At 35.6% G+C, this 17,582-nt stretch overlaps 1 annotated feature.

The window, feature by feature from the left end:
- Nucleotides 8,893–9,062: an enhancer, noted in NCBI's record as "experimental_93892 CRE fragment used in MPRA reporter constructs". NCBI's record gives its function as "activates a minimal promoter by MPRAs in K562 erythroleukemia cells, with activity observed for the introgressed 6:66750478 variant allele {active_cell/tissue: K562}" and the evidence as "EXISTENCE:reporter gene assay evidence [ECO:0000049][PMID:34662402]".

The following is a 17,582-nucleotide window of genomic DNA, read 5'->3' as shown; positions in this document are numbered from 1 at the left end:
TTATTTTAATCACTATATTATGTGACAAGGTGCCGTTAATTTTAAAATTGTTTGCCACATCGTTTAAAAAATGTGATGACTTCTCTATGTCAAAACAAAAGAAGGTCGAAACAAAGCAAATTTGTTTTATTAATAACATAGTACGTTGTAAGATAGTTATTTTTGTTTTAACCTCAGCTATGAACAATAAAGCAAAAGGAAAATAGACATAAATAGACATATTTAGAAGTTTGATATGAGACAAGACCACAACACTGTACTCCTTCACTAAATTTATCCTCTTCCTTCTCAAGAGTTAGACTTAGGATGGCGCACTTATCTGTTCCATAAAAGAAATTTCTACTGAAAGTAGAAAAAAATAACCTCTGTCTTTCATTATGACCCATCATATTATATCTTGTACATTGAGTAGACAGATGAGGTGAAATTTCTACTTCTTATCACAGTAAGTCAACTTTAAGAATGCCTATATTTTTAGACAAAGGTTTAGTAATTTTCAGTGCTGAAACCTTTAATCATTCATTGTGCCTGTAACAAAAACATAGAACTTATTTCAAAAATAGCAGCCTTGTCATTTGAACTAAAGAAAAAATCCACAATGTTAATAGATCACTGTGACAGTTTTTGTGGTCAGAAATAGGACAGAGGCAAAAAGAGAAAGTACTATTTTCATTTATCTTTCTTAGTAGTATGGACAGTCAGAGAGAGAGAAAGAGAGAGACACACAGAGAGAGAGAGGGCATCTGAACATGCAGATATTTTACTCTGGCTAAAAACAATAAAAAAAGTTTTATCCAGTGGTTTAAACCTTATGTTGACAGATAATAAAACTATTATTTTTTTGTCAGCTTTAAAGAATATTTATTCATCCATCTAATCATTTTATCTTTTGGTTATTCATTTAACAAGTATTTATTGAACACTTCTATTATTTTAAATACTGTGCTAGTTAATGCTTTTCTAACAGTGAAAAAGATACTATTTAACAACATACCAAAACAACATGAAAAATTAAAACATTAAACATAAAATTCAATAATTAGTTTTAGCCCAAACAAGTTTATATAAATATGTGGTAATCATTTCTGACAATGTCCATATGCAGATTCTGCTAACAGAGTTTTCTATATGTTCCATTAATTTAAAAATTAAACTACAGAATATTTCATAGAGGAAAAATTATATAATACAAAATCTTAAGAAATAGAACAGGGAAATACTCAAACAGAAATAATGTTTTACTAAAGACTCAAGTATTATTTAAAAAAAAACTTTAGATGAGTTAAATTTAGCAGAGTATATTTGAGCAAAGAAAAATTCATGAATTAGGCAGCCCTCAGAACAAGGAGACGTTCAGAGATTTCCATCCAGCAATGTGGGCAGGCAGTATTTACAGACAGAAAAAGGAAGAGACATATAGAAAGAGCTTGATAGGTTATAGCTTAATAATCACCTTATATGAATCTAGTGTGATTCGTGTGCAGCCTGTGATTGGTTGAAGTTTGGCTGCTGTGATTGGCTGAAACTCAGCTACATATTACAAAAATACAATTTTAGTTATGTTGCAGTTTGTTTACATACTAAGTTACATTACAGTTTGCTACATACAAAGGCAGCTTTAGACCAAATTTAATTTAACAGTATAATGGAGTATTATATAAACAGTCGTTTTTGTCTTGCTGTCTTGTAAGACACAAATTGCATATTTTTAAAAACTTTATTTAGGCATTAGTGAATTTTTCTATGTTATTAAATGTTGACAGACAGTATTTTAAATTTTAGATAATTCTATGCAAGTATAATTTCTTTTAACATTTACAAGGCCCAATATCTTCAAATTGCATATTAAACCAACATTTATTATGAACTTTGCATAAAATAAACCATATCTTATACAAATATGTATTACATTTTTATCTTACAATCAGGTGGTATGAAAGTATGGTGGGGAGGATTATCACCAAATTCAATTGTAAAAAGAACCAAAAAAAAAATAATAAAAAATAACCTTTCTCCTTCAGATGCAAAGATATGCCTTTTTAGGTATAATGTGTTTTCAAATAAGCAACAATACAGTTCACATTAATTAATTCCTCCAAATTCTAGAAGAAAGAAAACAGAAGAAATTAAAAATTTGGCATAAAATGTATTGAGCATGTACTAGATGACATGCATTGTGGTTAGAAGGGAAGTGAGTTTGTTATTTTCACATTTTCAAGTGAAACCTGAATTTTTAAGGTTTAGAATCTCTCTTACTTTGTTCAGGCTGCTATAACAACATATCTAAGACTGGGTAAATTACAAACAACAGAAATTTATTGCCCACAGTTGTCTGAGATCAATGCACCAGCAGACTAGATGTCTCTGGTGAAGAGCCATTTCTCATAGATAGATGGCACCTTCTTACTGTATCTTCACATAGTAGAAGAGTGAGAGCAAGGCATCTCCTTTCAACCTCTTTTATAAAGGCATTAATCCCAAACATGAAGGCAGAGTCCTCATGGCTTAATCATTTCCCCAAAGGCCTTACCTTTTAATACTACTACATTGGGTATTATGATCCAACCTATGAATTTGGGGGTTATGCCAACATTCTAACCATAGCATTCTGCCCCTGGCTCCCCCAAATTTATATCATTATCATATGCAAAATGCATTCATTTTATTACAATAGCTCCCAAAGTTTTGTTACAGCACCACTTTACATGTCTAAAGTCCAGAGTCAAATTTTCTTTTTTTTTTTTTTGAGACAGAGTCTCATGCTATTGCCCAGTCTAGAGTGCAATGGCACGATCTCAGCTCACATCAACCTCCACCTCCCGGGTTCAAGCGATTCTCCTGCCTCAGCCTCCCGAGTAGCTGGGACTACAGGCACGGGCCACCACGCCCAGCTAATTTTTGTGTTTTTACTAGAGACGAGGTTTCACCATGTTGGCAGGCTGGTCTCTAACTCCTGACCTCAGATGATCCACTCGCCTTGGCCTCCGAAAGTGTTGGGATTACAGGCGTGAGCCACCACGCCTGGCCCAGAGTCACATCTTAATACCTAAATCAGATATGGGTGAGACTCAGGGTACAGATTATCCTTAGGCAAATCACTCTTCAGGTATTAATATGCAAAACAGAAAATGTTGTGTACTTTCAAAATACAATGGTGGAACAGGAATAGAATAGATAGTCCCATTACAAAAGAGGAAAATAGGAAAGAAGAAAAAGGTAATAGGTCCCAATCAAATCCAAAACCCAACAGAGGAAACATTAAATTTTAATACTCCAGAGTAATCTTTTTTGACTGAAAGATATACCTTCCGGCACGCTGGATCAGAAGCTCAGTCTCCAAGGCTTTAGAGGATCTCACTCACATGGCTCTGTTGAGAGTACATACCTCAGTTCTCACTGGTTGGGTAGAGGCTCATGCTGAGCTGGACTGTATGTTGGTGGCTCTACCAGTCTGAGTTCATAGGGTTGGCCCTACTCTCATAGCTCCATTAAGCATCACCCTGGTGGGTACTGCCTGTGGTAGTCCTAACTCCAGGGCACTACTGAACATTGCTGTAGTAGAGGAATATTGTGGTATGTACACCATTTCAGCAGTTCTCTGCCTGAGCCCCAAGACTCTCTGGTACATCCTTTGTCATCTAGGTGGAGGGAGCCAGATCCTTACAACTTGTGTATACTGCATCGTGATAGAGATTGCACCACAAAGATGCAGCCAAGCTTTATAACTTGAACCTTTCAGAGAGGCAGCACAAACTACACTTGGGCTCACTTGAACCTCAGCTGCGGCAGCCAAGTAGCACTGCACCAGAACGGAGGCAGCAGAGCCTTGAGATTGTTCAGTTCCCAAGTCTCCAGCAGTCTGGAACTGTGATGGCTAGGAAAGTCCCAAAGATCTCTGAAACACCTTTAAGATTTCTTCTATTGTCTTGATGAATAGCACCAGGATTCTGCCCACCCATACTAATATCACCATCAGCTGGTCCCTTGGCCACACTCTTGGTGTTCTCTCCTGACCATGCTTTTTTATTTTAGAACATGGCTAGGCTAAAACATTTCCAAATTGAAGTTCTCCTTCTATTCTGTTATTAATTCTATCTTTGATTTGTTTCTCTCGTCTCACATTTTACTATAAGCAGTCAAGAAAAACCATCCCACACACTCGACACTTAGAGATTTCCTCCACCAAATATCCATTTCACTGCTCATAAGTCATAACGTTCACAAAGAACTAAGATAGCAACACTATTTAGGAAAGTTGTTTACCAATTTATAACAATGGTGGCCTTTCCTTTGGGTTTCAATAGCATGTTTCACACTTCCATCTGAGATCTCATCAGAATGGGCTTTACAGATATTTACAATTCTACCAACATTCTAATCGTAACCACTTAGGTAACCTATAAGAAGACTGAGCCTCTCTCTACAGCACTCTTCTTCCAAGCCCTCATCAAAATCAGCCTTCGTGGTTAAGGGCAATATAGGCTTTTTCTAGCGTTTGCCTTCAAACTCTTCCACCCTCTGCCCATTCCCAGTTTCAAAGCTGCCTCCTAATTTTGGGGTATTTGTTATAGCAGCAACCCATTTATCAGTACAAATTGCCATCTTAGTATTTTTCGGGTGGCAATAACAAAATACTTTTGACTGGGTAATGTATAGGTAATAAAAATAAATTGCTAACAGTCCTGGAAACTGGGGAGCCCAAAATCAAAGCAATAGTAGATTTGGTTTCTGGTGAGGAGCTTTTGCCCATAGATAAATGATGCCTTCTTGCTGTGTCCTCATATGGCAAAAGAGGGCAAGGCAGTTCTCTTCAAATTCTTTCATATGAACACAGATTTCATTCATAAGGGCAGAGCCTTCATGACTCAATAGCTTTCCCTAATGCCCCACCTCTTACTATTACCACATTGGGTATTAAGTTCCAACATATGAATTTTGGGAGACACCAATATTCAGAGAATAGCAACATCCCGATCTAGAACTGTACCTTGACCCCCAAAGCCAGACTTTGAAAAAAATTTAAAACATGTAAAATGTTTAATGCCCTACTGCTTCATTGCCATTGTATGAATGCTAATGATAACCTTTACAGATTTCCACAAAACACATTTATGTAAATGGCAGAAAAAGAATTAAAGCCAAAATCCTCCACCTTCAATTCCAATACCCGTTCACTATAACTTGTTGCCTTACTCAATGGGACAAATATTAAAAATATTATACAACATGATTATAAGAAAATGGTTAATGTCCCTAAAAGTGCTATTTTAAAAGAAAACAATGACTGGCTGCAGTGGCTCACACCGGTAATCCCAGCACTTTGGGAGGATGGGGCAGGCAGATCACTTGAGGTCAGGAGTTCAAGACTAGCCTGGCTAACACGATGAACCCCATCTCTACTAAAAATACAAAATTTAGCTGGGCGTGGTGGCGGGCGCCTCTAACGCCAGCTACTCGGGTGGTTGAGGCAGGAAAATTGCTTGAACCCAGGAGGCAGAGGTTGCAGTGAGCCTAGATCGTACCACTGCACTCCAGCCTGGGTGAAAGCATGAGACTCTGTCAAAAAAAAAAAAAAAAAAAAAGAAACAAAGAAAGCAATATCTTTCTGCGTATGTTATAGTTAATCTTAGATTATATGTGTATTATCAGTTTTCCAAATTTAGGATATTTACATAAGAATCTCTTAAACTTGGAGAAATTAAATCTGTTACCAAATTAATCTCTAAATGCCTCTCTTCATTAAGAACATTCACATGCAGCTTAGGACAGTGAAACTATTAGTCAGATTCTCTCCTAATCTATTTTAGGAGGAGAAACTTATGTATCACTTACACTTCATCATATTTATGAATCATTAGAATGGTGAGTGAAGAAGAAAGAAAAGAGGGGGAAGAAAACCTTTCCCCAGGTATTACTCCATTCTCACATTGTTAAAAAAAACTACTTGAGACTGGGTAATTTATAAAGAGAAAAGGTTTAATTGCCTCATTATTCCACAGGCTGTACAGGAGGTACAGCTGGGGAGAACTCAAGAAACTTACAATCATGGTAGAAGGTAGAGAGGAAGGAGGCATGTCATGGCCAGAGTGAGAGGAAGAGAGTGAAAGTGGAGGTGCTACACACTTTCAAACAAATAGCTATCATAAGAACTCACTCACTATCATGAGAATAGCAAGGAGGAAATCCACCCCTATGATCCAATCACCTCCCACCAAGCCCCTCCTCCAACACTGGGAATTACAATTCAACATGAGATTTGGGAAAGGATACAAATCCAAATCATATCACCCACCACTGTAAAAAATTACAAAGATTAGCTACCATAATTTTCTTGCTGGCACCTTATGGCATGTAAATATTACTTTATTTTTTTAATTTAAAAAATTCATGAAAACTCTCAAAGTTTTATATATAATTTAGGAACATTTCTATAAATCTTATGTGTATAAATAGCATCTTATATGATCACTTTAAAAATATATTTTATCATTTGCAAAAAACTAATAAAAGCAAAGATAAATGTATATTCACATTCATTTGCTTATTAGAAAGATTGAGAAATATTCAATGAAAGGACTAACTTATCACTCTCAAATTAGTCTTCATTTGTTAAGAAACATAATTTTATTTTAATGTAATGATCTTTGCTGAGAGATTTCTTAAACAGTGATGTTCTGCTTATAAAAAGAGACTCCCTAAAGTAGAGTGATATATATGGGGAAATGTCTACTAAATCAACCTCAGCATTGTTGGTACTTGCAAGGGATGTCTTTTATTGATTAATATGCAGAATAGAAATGTTATTTATTCTTAATGTCCATACTAATTCAGGAATCTCTCTGATTAAAACATATATTTTTTGTTTAATTCTTTTTATTAAATATTTTGTTGAAGGATACATTTTCCAATAATATGTGAGTTTCTTAGTTTTTGTTGATGTAACAGAATATCAGATTGGGTAATTTATAAAGAACAGAAGTTTATTTGGCTCATATTCATAAAGACTGGGAAGTCCTAGGGTATAGCACCGCATCTGGCAAGGTGAGAATGACCTCTTCATACAGAAAGAAAAGGGCACCAAACTTCCCTCTTTTATAACTAAACTACAGCAAAAATAATTTCATTAATCTATTCATAAGGATAGTGCTTTCATGACCTAATCACCTCTTGAAGTCCCCATATCTTAATACTCGTTACAATGGCAATGATATGTCACATGAGTTTTGGAGAGTGCATTCAAATAATAGTGGTGAGTTTTTATTAAAATTTGTACCAACTGTATGTATAGACACAGTGGTTAAAATAACACAAATTCCACAGGTTAGTAGTGTCAGTAAGGCATTACATGTTATTGTCATTAAAAAACACATAATATCTATCAGTTATCACCATATCACTTTGCTATGGTTTGAATGTCCCCTCAAAAATGTGTGTTGAAATTTAATTACCATTGTGACAGTATAAGTGGTGGGACCACTAACAGGTGATTAGGCCAAAATAGTTTTGCCCATATGAATATATTAATGTTATTATTGTGGGAGTGGGTTTGTTACCGTGAGAGTGAGTTTTTGTAAAGGTATGTTCAGCCTTCTCTTGCTCCTTGGCTACCTTGCCTTATCTTTATCTTCTGCCTTCAGCTATGAGATGAAACAGCAAGAAGATCCTCTCCAGATGCTGGTTCCCTGCTCTTGGAACTCCCAACTCCTTGAACCATGAGCCAAGTAAATGTCTATTGTTTATAAATCACTAAGTCTTTGTTATCCTGTTATATCAACACAAAATGGACGAAGACACACCTATACATCAGTAGATGTTAATATTTTATATGTTACAAAGTTGCTATAATTTTGAAGAAAGACATACCCACTCCTACGGCCCCTCCTCAGAAAAACTTTATAAAGATTTTATTTAATGTTAAAGAATCCATAAATAATTTATAAATTAAGTTGCCATAGATCAATATAATGATAAGCCACATATTAAACCCTAATAGCTATGAGATTGATAATTCAATAAGAATTAATCAGAAATTCAGCTATTTGAAGAAAAAGAGAAATTTTATCTCAATTCTAAACCTTAAATAAAACGTCAGTAGATTAAAAAGTGTTAGAATGTATGCTATATTTATAGAGCCCCTAGCTTCTTTATAATAAATTTTCTTCACCTTTTAAAAATCAAGCTTATTGGGGCATAATTTATGTACAACAAAATGCTCACAGTTAGATCTGTTTTGTCAAATCTATAAATCTGTGTAATCACTACTATAATAAATGTACAGAACATTTTTTTCACCCCACTGCTTTCTTTTATTACCCTTCACAGTGATTTCTTATGGTTTCTCCTCAGATTCAGGGAACTACTGCTCTCTGTCACTGCAGTTTAATTTTTCTTATATAAAATCTCATATGAATGGACTCAGACATGTACTTTTGTGTATCTGGCTTCTTTCAGTCATCATATATTTTTTAGGTTCATCCATACTCTTTCCCATATGAGTAATTTACCTTCTTTTAAAATATAAAATTAATTTTTAAAGAAATATATAAATATATAAATTTAACCAAACAGTAAATATATTTATTTATGTAAGAAATAATTAATATTAATTAAAAGGCACATAAAAATATATAAATATTTATATAGACAAAAAATTATAATTTGGGGTATATATAAATCCATTAGGTAAATATTTACTATTACATTAGTAAAACGGATAAAGAAAATTAATAGAAAATTAGTAGAAAGTAATAAAAGCAATCAACTGACATATGAAATATCCAAGCGTATTAATTATTGAAGTAATCTTAAAACTAAGACGCTTATTTTTTTCACTATACAATTATTAATGGGAAACAATGAGCATGTAATAAATATGAAGACTCAGTTACACAGGCATCTTCATATATGTAGAAAGCTCTATAAAATAAATTTGTAATTGAAAAACCCCCCAAAACATAATTTTTTTTTTTTTTGAGACGGAGTCTCACTCTGTCGCCCAGGCTGGAGTGCAGTGGCACATCTTGGCTCACTGCAAGCTCCACCTCCCAGGTTCACGCCATTCTCCTGCCTCAGCCTCCAGAGTAGCTGGGACTACAGGTACCCGCTGCCATGCTCAGCTAATTTTTTTGTATTTTTAGTAGAGACGGGGTTTCACCGTGTTAGCCAGGATGGTTTTGATCTCCTGACCTCGTGATCCGCCTGCCTCGGCCTCTCAAAGTGCTGGGATTACAGGTGTGAGCCACTGCGCCTGGCCATAAATTTTTATACTTAGACAACTTTACTGGAGAATTCTACCAATCATTTCATGAAGAGTTTGACACAATCTTTTTTAGAAAATAGAAGTGATAACACAATTCTACATAATAGTTTTCTGAAAATAGAAGAGGAGATAACTCTTCCATTTTATTAAGATAGTATATTACCTGAAAGCAAAACCAGTCAAAGAAAGTACAAGACACTATAGATCAATATTCTACATGACTATAAATGTAAAAATTCTTGACAAAATATTAGCAAATACAATTTGCAATATGTATAAAAATGAGTGTTTTCATAGATAAAGGAGGAGGTAGGTCCTGAAAAGCAGTGAGTGCTGCAACTAAAGAACAATATGAAAGATTCTTGTGGCAATGGAAATTTTTTGTTTGTGATATTATACTACATTTTGACAAGATATTACCATTGCTCAAAGCTGGTTAAAATGTACTTGAGATTCCTCTATGTAGTTTTTTCATAATTGTATGTAAAATTTATATGAAAGAAAAAGTAAAGAAGAAAAAACAAAAACACGATCTTGAATTTAGCTGATATTTTATGATAATTTCAAATGCTATTTTAAAATTAACCAGTGAGTTTACAGGTTAGTCCAATTGAATAATTTTATTTATAGTTTACATTGACCGGGAGCTAATGCCTGAAATGGGGGCCTCATGACTCTGTCCTATCATATTCTAGTGTGGCTGATCTGACATCCAAGAGGTAAAACAAATTCTCTTTACTCTTTGCTCTCTTCTCCTCAAGCAGAAGGAAAGAGTCACTTTTATTGTTGCAAGTTGTACTATTGGAAGCTGGGAGAGAGGTGACAGAAGTACTCCCTTAGCCACCCTGACTGGTGTCTTACTAGGTCATGTGCCGCCCACGTCTACTGCTCCCCAGCCCAGAACAGCACTACGACTTGCCTTTTGGACTAGACTTGGTTGCCTTTCAAGTTTGTTTGGACTCCAGAGTACGTTAGCCTGCAGTAGTGAGGCTTATTGAAGCTCATATTCTGACCACTGGGATGGGTGAGTCCTCTTTGGCTAGGGCATGTCTATACACTCTCTCAGTGTGTGGGAATCAGCTGAGTTTAGCCTGGGTTTGCTTTCCACTGTGACAGGGCAGCACTGAGTTCAAAGCAGGGTCTTACAATCATGGCACTTCCCTCTCCCAAGTGAACAGATTCTCCACACTATATGGCTGCTGCCAGGAGATGGGAGAGGGGTGGTATTGATAATTCAAGATTGTCCTTCCCATCTTCTGCAGTGCTTCTTTCAGTAATATGCAGTTAAAATCAGGTGCTGTGATTGCTCACCTGATTTTTGGTTCTTATGAAGTGCTTGTGTGTATAGAAAGTTGTTAAATTTGGTGTTCCTTCCCATGTGGCAAAAAAAAAGAAAAAAAAGCCAGTTTTCAAGGGAGAAATTTTAAAAGGTTGCATAAATTTGCATAAACAGAAAGGAGCCAAGTGCAAGTCACCAAGACAAGGGGGAGAAGGCCTTGAAGGCATTTCAGAGACCATCAAGGCAGCCTCTCTCATCATAGGCCCGGAAGCCTAGGAGGACTGAATGGTTTCATGAGCCAGGCCCAGGACCTCACTCTACAGCACAGCCTTGGGAAACTACTTCCAGCCACTCTAGCTCAAGCTGTGACTCCAAAGGTCCCAGGTACAGCTCAGGCCACTGCTCCAGAGGATGCGAGCCATAGACTTAGCAGATTCCAAGTGGTGGTAAGCCTGAGGATGTGCCGAATGCAAGAGTTGAGGCTTGGAAGCCTCTGCCTAGATTTCAGAGGATGCATAGAAAAGCCTGGATGTCGAGGCTGAAGCCTGATGCAGGGGTAAAACCCTCACAGAGAACCTCTACTAAAGCGGTTCAGAAAGGAAATGTGGGGTTGGAGCCCCCATACAGAGTCCCCACTGAGGCAATGCCTAATGAAGCTTTGAGAAGAGGGCCATTATCTTCCAGATCCCAGAATGGTAGAGCCACTTACAGCTTGCACTATGTGCCTGGAAAAGCTGTAGGCACTCAATGCCAGTCCAAGAAAAGCAACTGTGGGAGCTGAACCATGTAAAGCCACAGGAGTGGAGCTGCCCAAGGCCTTGGTAGCCCAACCCCTTGCAGCAGTGTGCCCTTGATGTGGGATACAGGGTCAGAGTAGATTATTTTAAAGTTTTAAGATGTAATAATTGCCCTGCTGAGTTTCACATTTACATGAGGTTTGGAATTCCTTTGTTATGGCCTATTTCTCCCTTTAGGAATGGGAGTATTTACCCAATGGCTATACCCAAATTTTATCTTGGGAGTAACTAAGTTATATTCTATTTTACAGGCTGATAGATAGAAGGGACTTGCCTTTTCTCCAGTAAGCCTTTGGTCTTTTGACAGTTGAGTTAATGCTGGAATGAATTATGACTTTGAAAGACTGTTGGGAAGGCATGGCTGTATTCTGAAATGTAAGAAGCACATGAGATTTGGAAGGCACCAGGAATAAAATGATATGGCTTAGATCTGTGTCCTCACTCAAATATCAAATTATAATTCCCGAAATGTTGGAGGTGATGCTTGTTGGAGGTGACTGGATCATGAGGGTGGATTTCTCATGAGTGGTTTAGCACCATCTCCTTGCTCCTGTTCTTGCAACAGTGAGTTCTCATGAGTTCTGGTTATTTTAAAGTGTATAACACTCCCCCACTTCTCTCTTTTGCAACTGATCTCAACATGTGAGATGCCCCACTCTTCTTCTGATATCTACCATGATTGTAAGTTTCCTGAGGCCTCCCCAGAAGCTTAGCAGATGCCAGGATAATGCATCCTGTACAAGTCTATGGAGCCATGAGCCAATTAAGCCTCTTCTTTACTAACTACCCAGTCTCAGGTATTTCTCTATAGCAATGCAAGAATGAACTAATACAGAACCTATTAGATAATTACAGAATATTTTATCCCATGGCTATAGAATACACATTCTTCTCCTCAGCAAATGAATTGTTCTCAAGTATAGAGCATATTTTAGGTCACAAAACAAGTCTTAAAACACTTCAAAAAATTAAAATAGTATCAAGCATTTTCTCTGACCAAAATGGAATAAAACTAGAAATCTATAACAAGAAGAATTTTGGAAACCATACAAACACATAAAAATTAAACAATGTGCACCTGTATGACCAATGGGTCAATGAAGAAATAAAGAAGGAAAATGAAAAATTTCTGAAAACAAATAATAATACAAACAAACATACCAAAACCTATGAGATAGAGTGAAAGCAGTTCTAAGAGGGAAATTTACAGCCATAAGAGCCAACATCAAAAAAAAAAAAAAAAAAAACTTCAAATAAACAACCTAATGATTCACTTGAAGGGAATGGAAAAGCAAGAGCAAACTAAAGCAACAATTAATGGAAGTAAATATATTAAAAATATTACAGCAGAAATAAAAATAAAATTGAAATGAAGAAAATACAAAAATTGAATAAAATGAAATGTTTGTTACTTGAAAAGATAAACAAAATTGACAAACTTGAGCCAGACTAAGAGAAAAAGAGAGAATACACAAATAAATAAAATCAGAGTTGAAAAAAAAAATACTACAACCAATATCAGAGAAATTCAAAGGATCTTTAGTGGTTCCTGTGAGCAAATATTACAATAAATTGAAAAATCCAAAAGAAATAGATAAACTCATAGATATATACAACCTATCAAGTTTGAACCATGAAGAAATCCAAAACCTAAAAGAACCAATAACAAGTAACAATATTGAAATCATAATCAAGGTGTAGTAAAAAAAAAAAAAATCTCAGATCCTGATGGCTTCACTACTGAATTCTACCACACATTTAAAGAACATTTAATACAAATCTTACTTAAACTATTCTAAAAAATAGAGAAGGGAATACTTCCAAACTCATTTTTCAAAGCCAACATTATGTCGATACCATAACTAGACAAAGAAACACCAACAAAAGAAAACCAAAGGCCAATATCCCTGATAAATATTAATGTGAAAATCCTCAACAAAATGCTAGCAAACCAAATTCAACAACATATTATTATAAAAAGATCATTTGTCATGGCCAAGTGGGATTTATTCCTGGGATGCCAGGATAATTTAATACATGCAAATCAATCAATGTGATACATCATATCAGCAGAACAAAGGCCAAAATCCATGTAATAAATTTAATTGATGCTGAAAAATCATTTCATAAAATTCACCATGCCTTTATGATAAAAAATATCCTCCAAAAGCTGAGTATAGAGGGAACATACCTTAACATAGTAAGTATCATACTAAACAGCTAAATACTGAAAGTCTTTCCTCTAAGGTTGACAATACAACAGGGATGCCCACTGTCACCAGTTATTCAACATAGTACTGGAAGTCTTAGCTAGAGCAATCAGATGAAAGAAAGCCATCCAAACTGGAAAGAAATAAATCAAATAATTTTTATTTGCAGATGATATAATCTTGTATTTGCAAAAACCTAAAGACTCCACCAAAAAACTCTTAGAACTGATAACCAAATTTAGTAAAGTTTCAGGATACAAAATTAACACACAAACATCAGTAACATTTCTACATGCCAACAGTGAACAATCTGATAAAGAAATCAAGAAAACAATCCCATTTACAATAGCTGTAAATAAAATAAAATACCTAGGAATTAACTCAACCAAAGAAGTGAAAGGCCTCTATAATGAAAACTATGAAACACTGATAAAAGAAACTGAAAAGGACACCAAGAAATGGAAAAATATTCCTTGTCCCTGGATTGGAAGAATCAATATCACTAAAATGTCCATACTATTCAAAGTTATCGGCAGATTCAATGGAATCTCTCAAAATACCAATATTTTCATAGAAATAGAAAAAAAAATTCTAAAATCTATATGGAACCACAAAAGACACAGAATAGCAAAAGATATTCTAAGCAAAGCAAACAAAACAGAAAGCATCACTTTACCTGACTTCAGATTATATTACATAGCTAGAGTAACCAAAACAGCATGGTACTGGCATAAAAACAGGCACACAAACCAATAAAACAGAATAAAGAAACAGGAAACAAATTACATTAAAAGTGACCTCATTTTCAGCAACAGTGCCAAGAACATATATTGGTGACAGGATAGTCTCTCCAATTAATGTTTCTGGGAAAACTGGATAATTATGTACAGAAGAATGAAACTCGACCTCTATCTCCATATAAAAACTCAAATCAAAATGGGTTAAAGATTTAAACCTAAGACCTCAAGCTATGAAACTTCTAAAATAAAACTTTTGGGGAAACTCTCCAAGACATTAAAGTGGGTAAATATTTCTTGAGTAATACCCCACAAGTCCAGGCAACCAAAACAAAAATAGACAAATAGCATCACCTCAAGTTAAAAAGTTTCTGCACAGCAAAGGAAACCATCAACAAATTTAAGAGATAACCCACAGAATGTAAGAATATATTTCCAAACTACCAATCTGTGTTAGGTTGTTCTCGCATTGCTATAATAAAACTGAAACTGCGGAAGGAGGTTTAATTGGCTAATGTTTCTGCAGGTTGTACAGGAAGCATGATCCTGGCATCTGATCAGCTTCTGGGGTGGCCTCAGAAATCTTACAATCATGATGGAAGACTAACAGGGTGCAGGCATCTCACATAGTGGGAGCAGGATGGAAAGAGGGAGGAGAGGTGCCACACACTTTTAAACAACCAAATCACACAAGAACTCACTGTTGTAAGGACAGTACCAAGAGGTGGTACTAAACCATTTATGAGACATGTCCCCATGATCCAATCACCTCCCACCAGGCCCCACCTCTGACATTGAGGTTTACATATCAACATGAGATTTGGGCAGGACACCATCCAAAATGTATCATCATCTGCGGAAGGATTAATATCCAGAATATATAAGGAGCTCAAACAGCTTTATAGGAAAAAAATCTAATAGTCCAATTTTAAAATGAGCAGAAGATTTGAATACACATTTTTCAAAAGAAGATACATAAAAATGCCAAACAGGTATATGACAAGGTACTCAACATCACTGATTATCAAAGACATCCCAATCAAAACTACAATAATATATGATCTCACCCAAGTTATAATGACTTTTATCCAAAACACAGGCAATAACAAATGCTGGCAAGGATGTGAAGAGAGGGGAACTCACACACTGTTGGTGGGAATGAAAGTTAATACAACCACTATGGAGAACAGTTTGGAGGTTCCTCAAAAAACTAAGAATTGAGCCACCATATGATCCAGCAATTTTACTGGTAGGTGTATATTCAAAAGAAAGAATATCAGTACATCAGAGAAATATCTGCACTCCCATGTTTTTTTTCAGCACTATTCACAATCGCCAAGATTTGGAAGCAACCTAATTGTCCATCAACGGATGAATAAAGAAAATGTGGAACATATACACAATTAAGTACTATTTAACCATTAAAAAATAATGAGATCCTGTCATTTGCAACCACATGGATGGAAGTGGAGATGATTATGTTAAGTGAAGTAAGCCAGGCACAGAAAGACCAATATTGCATGTTCTCGCTTATTTGTGAGAGCTAAAAACTGCAACAAATGCACTCAGAGAGAGAGAGTGTAGAAGGAAGGTTACCAAAGTCTGGGAAATGTATTAGAGGGGTTGGACCAAACTGGGACTGTTATATGGATACCAAAAAATAATTAAAAAGAAAGAATAAGAACTAGTAGCTGATAACAGCACAGGGTGACTATAGTAAATATGATTTAATTGCACATTTTAAAATAACTAAAAGAATATAATTGGATTGTTTGTAACACAAAGGGTAAATGTTTGAGGTGATGGATACCTCCTTTATCCTGATATGATTATTACACATCATATGCCTATATCAAAATATGTACCTCATAAATACATATACCTACTATGTACCCATAAAACTTTAAAAAATAAAAGTTACAAAATGAAAAAATTATTTTAATTTCAAAATGAAATTTACTTGTGTTACATCTTAATTTAAACTCATTTCTTCTTTTATAAGTTTCTTTCAACTTAGGCAAAATGATTTTAATTTTTTATTTAATAGATGTTTCCTTTGCATTTTCTGAGCAACACATTTAAAGCAAATAATAGAATATCACAATATATTGTGTCACTTATCAAATTAGAAATTTAAATAAGGCATCACTTTTCAGAGGTAGTGCTGTGCTTGGGCATTTTGAGTCACTGATCAAATATATCAACAGTTAAGTCTAGGCCCTTAAGAACTATATACTCTTAAGAACTTCTATACTCTAATACTGCCAGCTGGAAATATTCAAGAAAAAAGAACTTTAGTAGAGAAACTTTATACCAATCACTAATATTTATTTTTGGCCTATTTTTCTTAGGCTCAGGAAGATGGAAAAAGAAAAACAATGAAAGGATGTGGACTTCCACATCCTGTATTCTAAAGTATAGTAACTTTTCAGTTAAAGTTGCATTTTGTTATTCTGAGTCAGCAATTTAAAATAGTAATACATATAGGGATTCTTTGGGAATCTTCTTAAAAACATATTTAACAGGTGGTTAAAGAGAAAGTGTGCAGAACTATATTTTATTTTACATTTTAATTCATTCTAAACAGATACTCATCTTATACCTAACTTTATATTAAGAATTATGGGCCAAGCAGGGTGGCTCACGCCTATCCCAGCACTTTGGGAGGCCAAGGCAGGCGAATCACGAGATCAGGAGATCGAGACCATCTCGGCTAACACGGTGAAACCCCGTCTCTACTAAAAAATACAAAAAATTAGCCGAGCGTGCCTGTAGTCCCAGCTACTCAGGAGGCTGAGGCAGGAGAAGGCATGAACCCGGGAAGTGGAGCTTGCAGTGAGCCAAGATCGCACCACTGCACTCCAGCCTGGGCAACAGAGTGAGATTCTGTCTCAAAAATAATAATCACAATAATTATTTAATATTTTTATTAAAATGGGTTTCCCCAATTATATAAACTTCAAGCACCCAAAAGACAAGTTGAGGTCCATACTGCCAGTCTGAAGCATTGTCATCTAATGCAGTGTTTCCTCCACTCCCCATGGATAACTGCAGGCTTTTTCATGGCTTCTTTTGCAGGGTGCTCAGAGGTTCTCTGTTGGTATCTGTGATGGGAATTCCCTTGATGTGAGCAACGCATTTCTGCCATATGGCTGCCTGACCTGTCACCCTCAGCCCCTGTGTTTCCAATTATCTTCATTTCTTTTGGGATCTTATCTCTTTTGAGATGACCCATCCTTTGAGTTTTGTTTTGTTTTGTTTGTTTGTTTTTCAAGAAGGAGTCTGGCTCTGTCACCCAGG

Source organism: Homo sapiens, chromosome 6 (genome assembly GCF_000001405.40).
Source record: "Homo sapiens chromosome 6, GRCh38.p14 Primary Assembly".
Classification (NCBI taxonomy): domain Eukaryota; kingdom Metazoa; phylum Chordata; class Mammalia; order Primates; family Hominidae; genus Homo; species Homo sapiens.
Note: the sequence above shows the minus strand (reverse complement) of the source record. Positions and strands in the feature narration are given on the sequence as shown.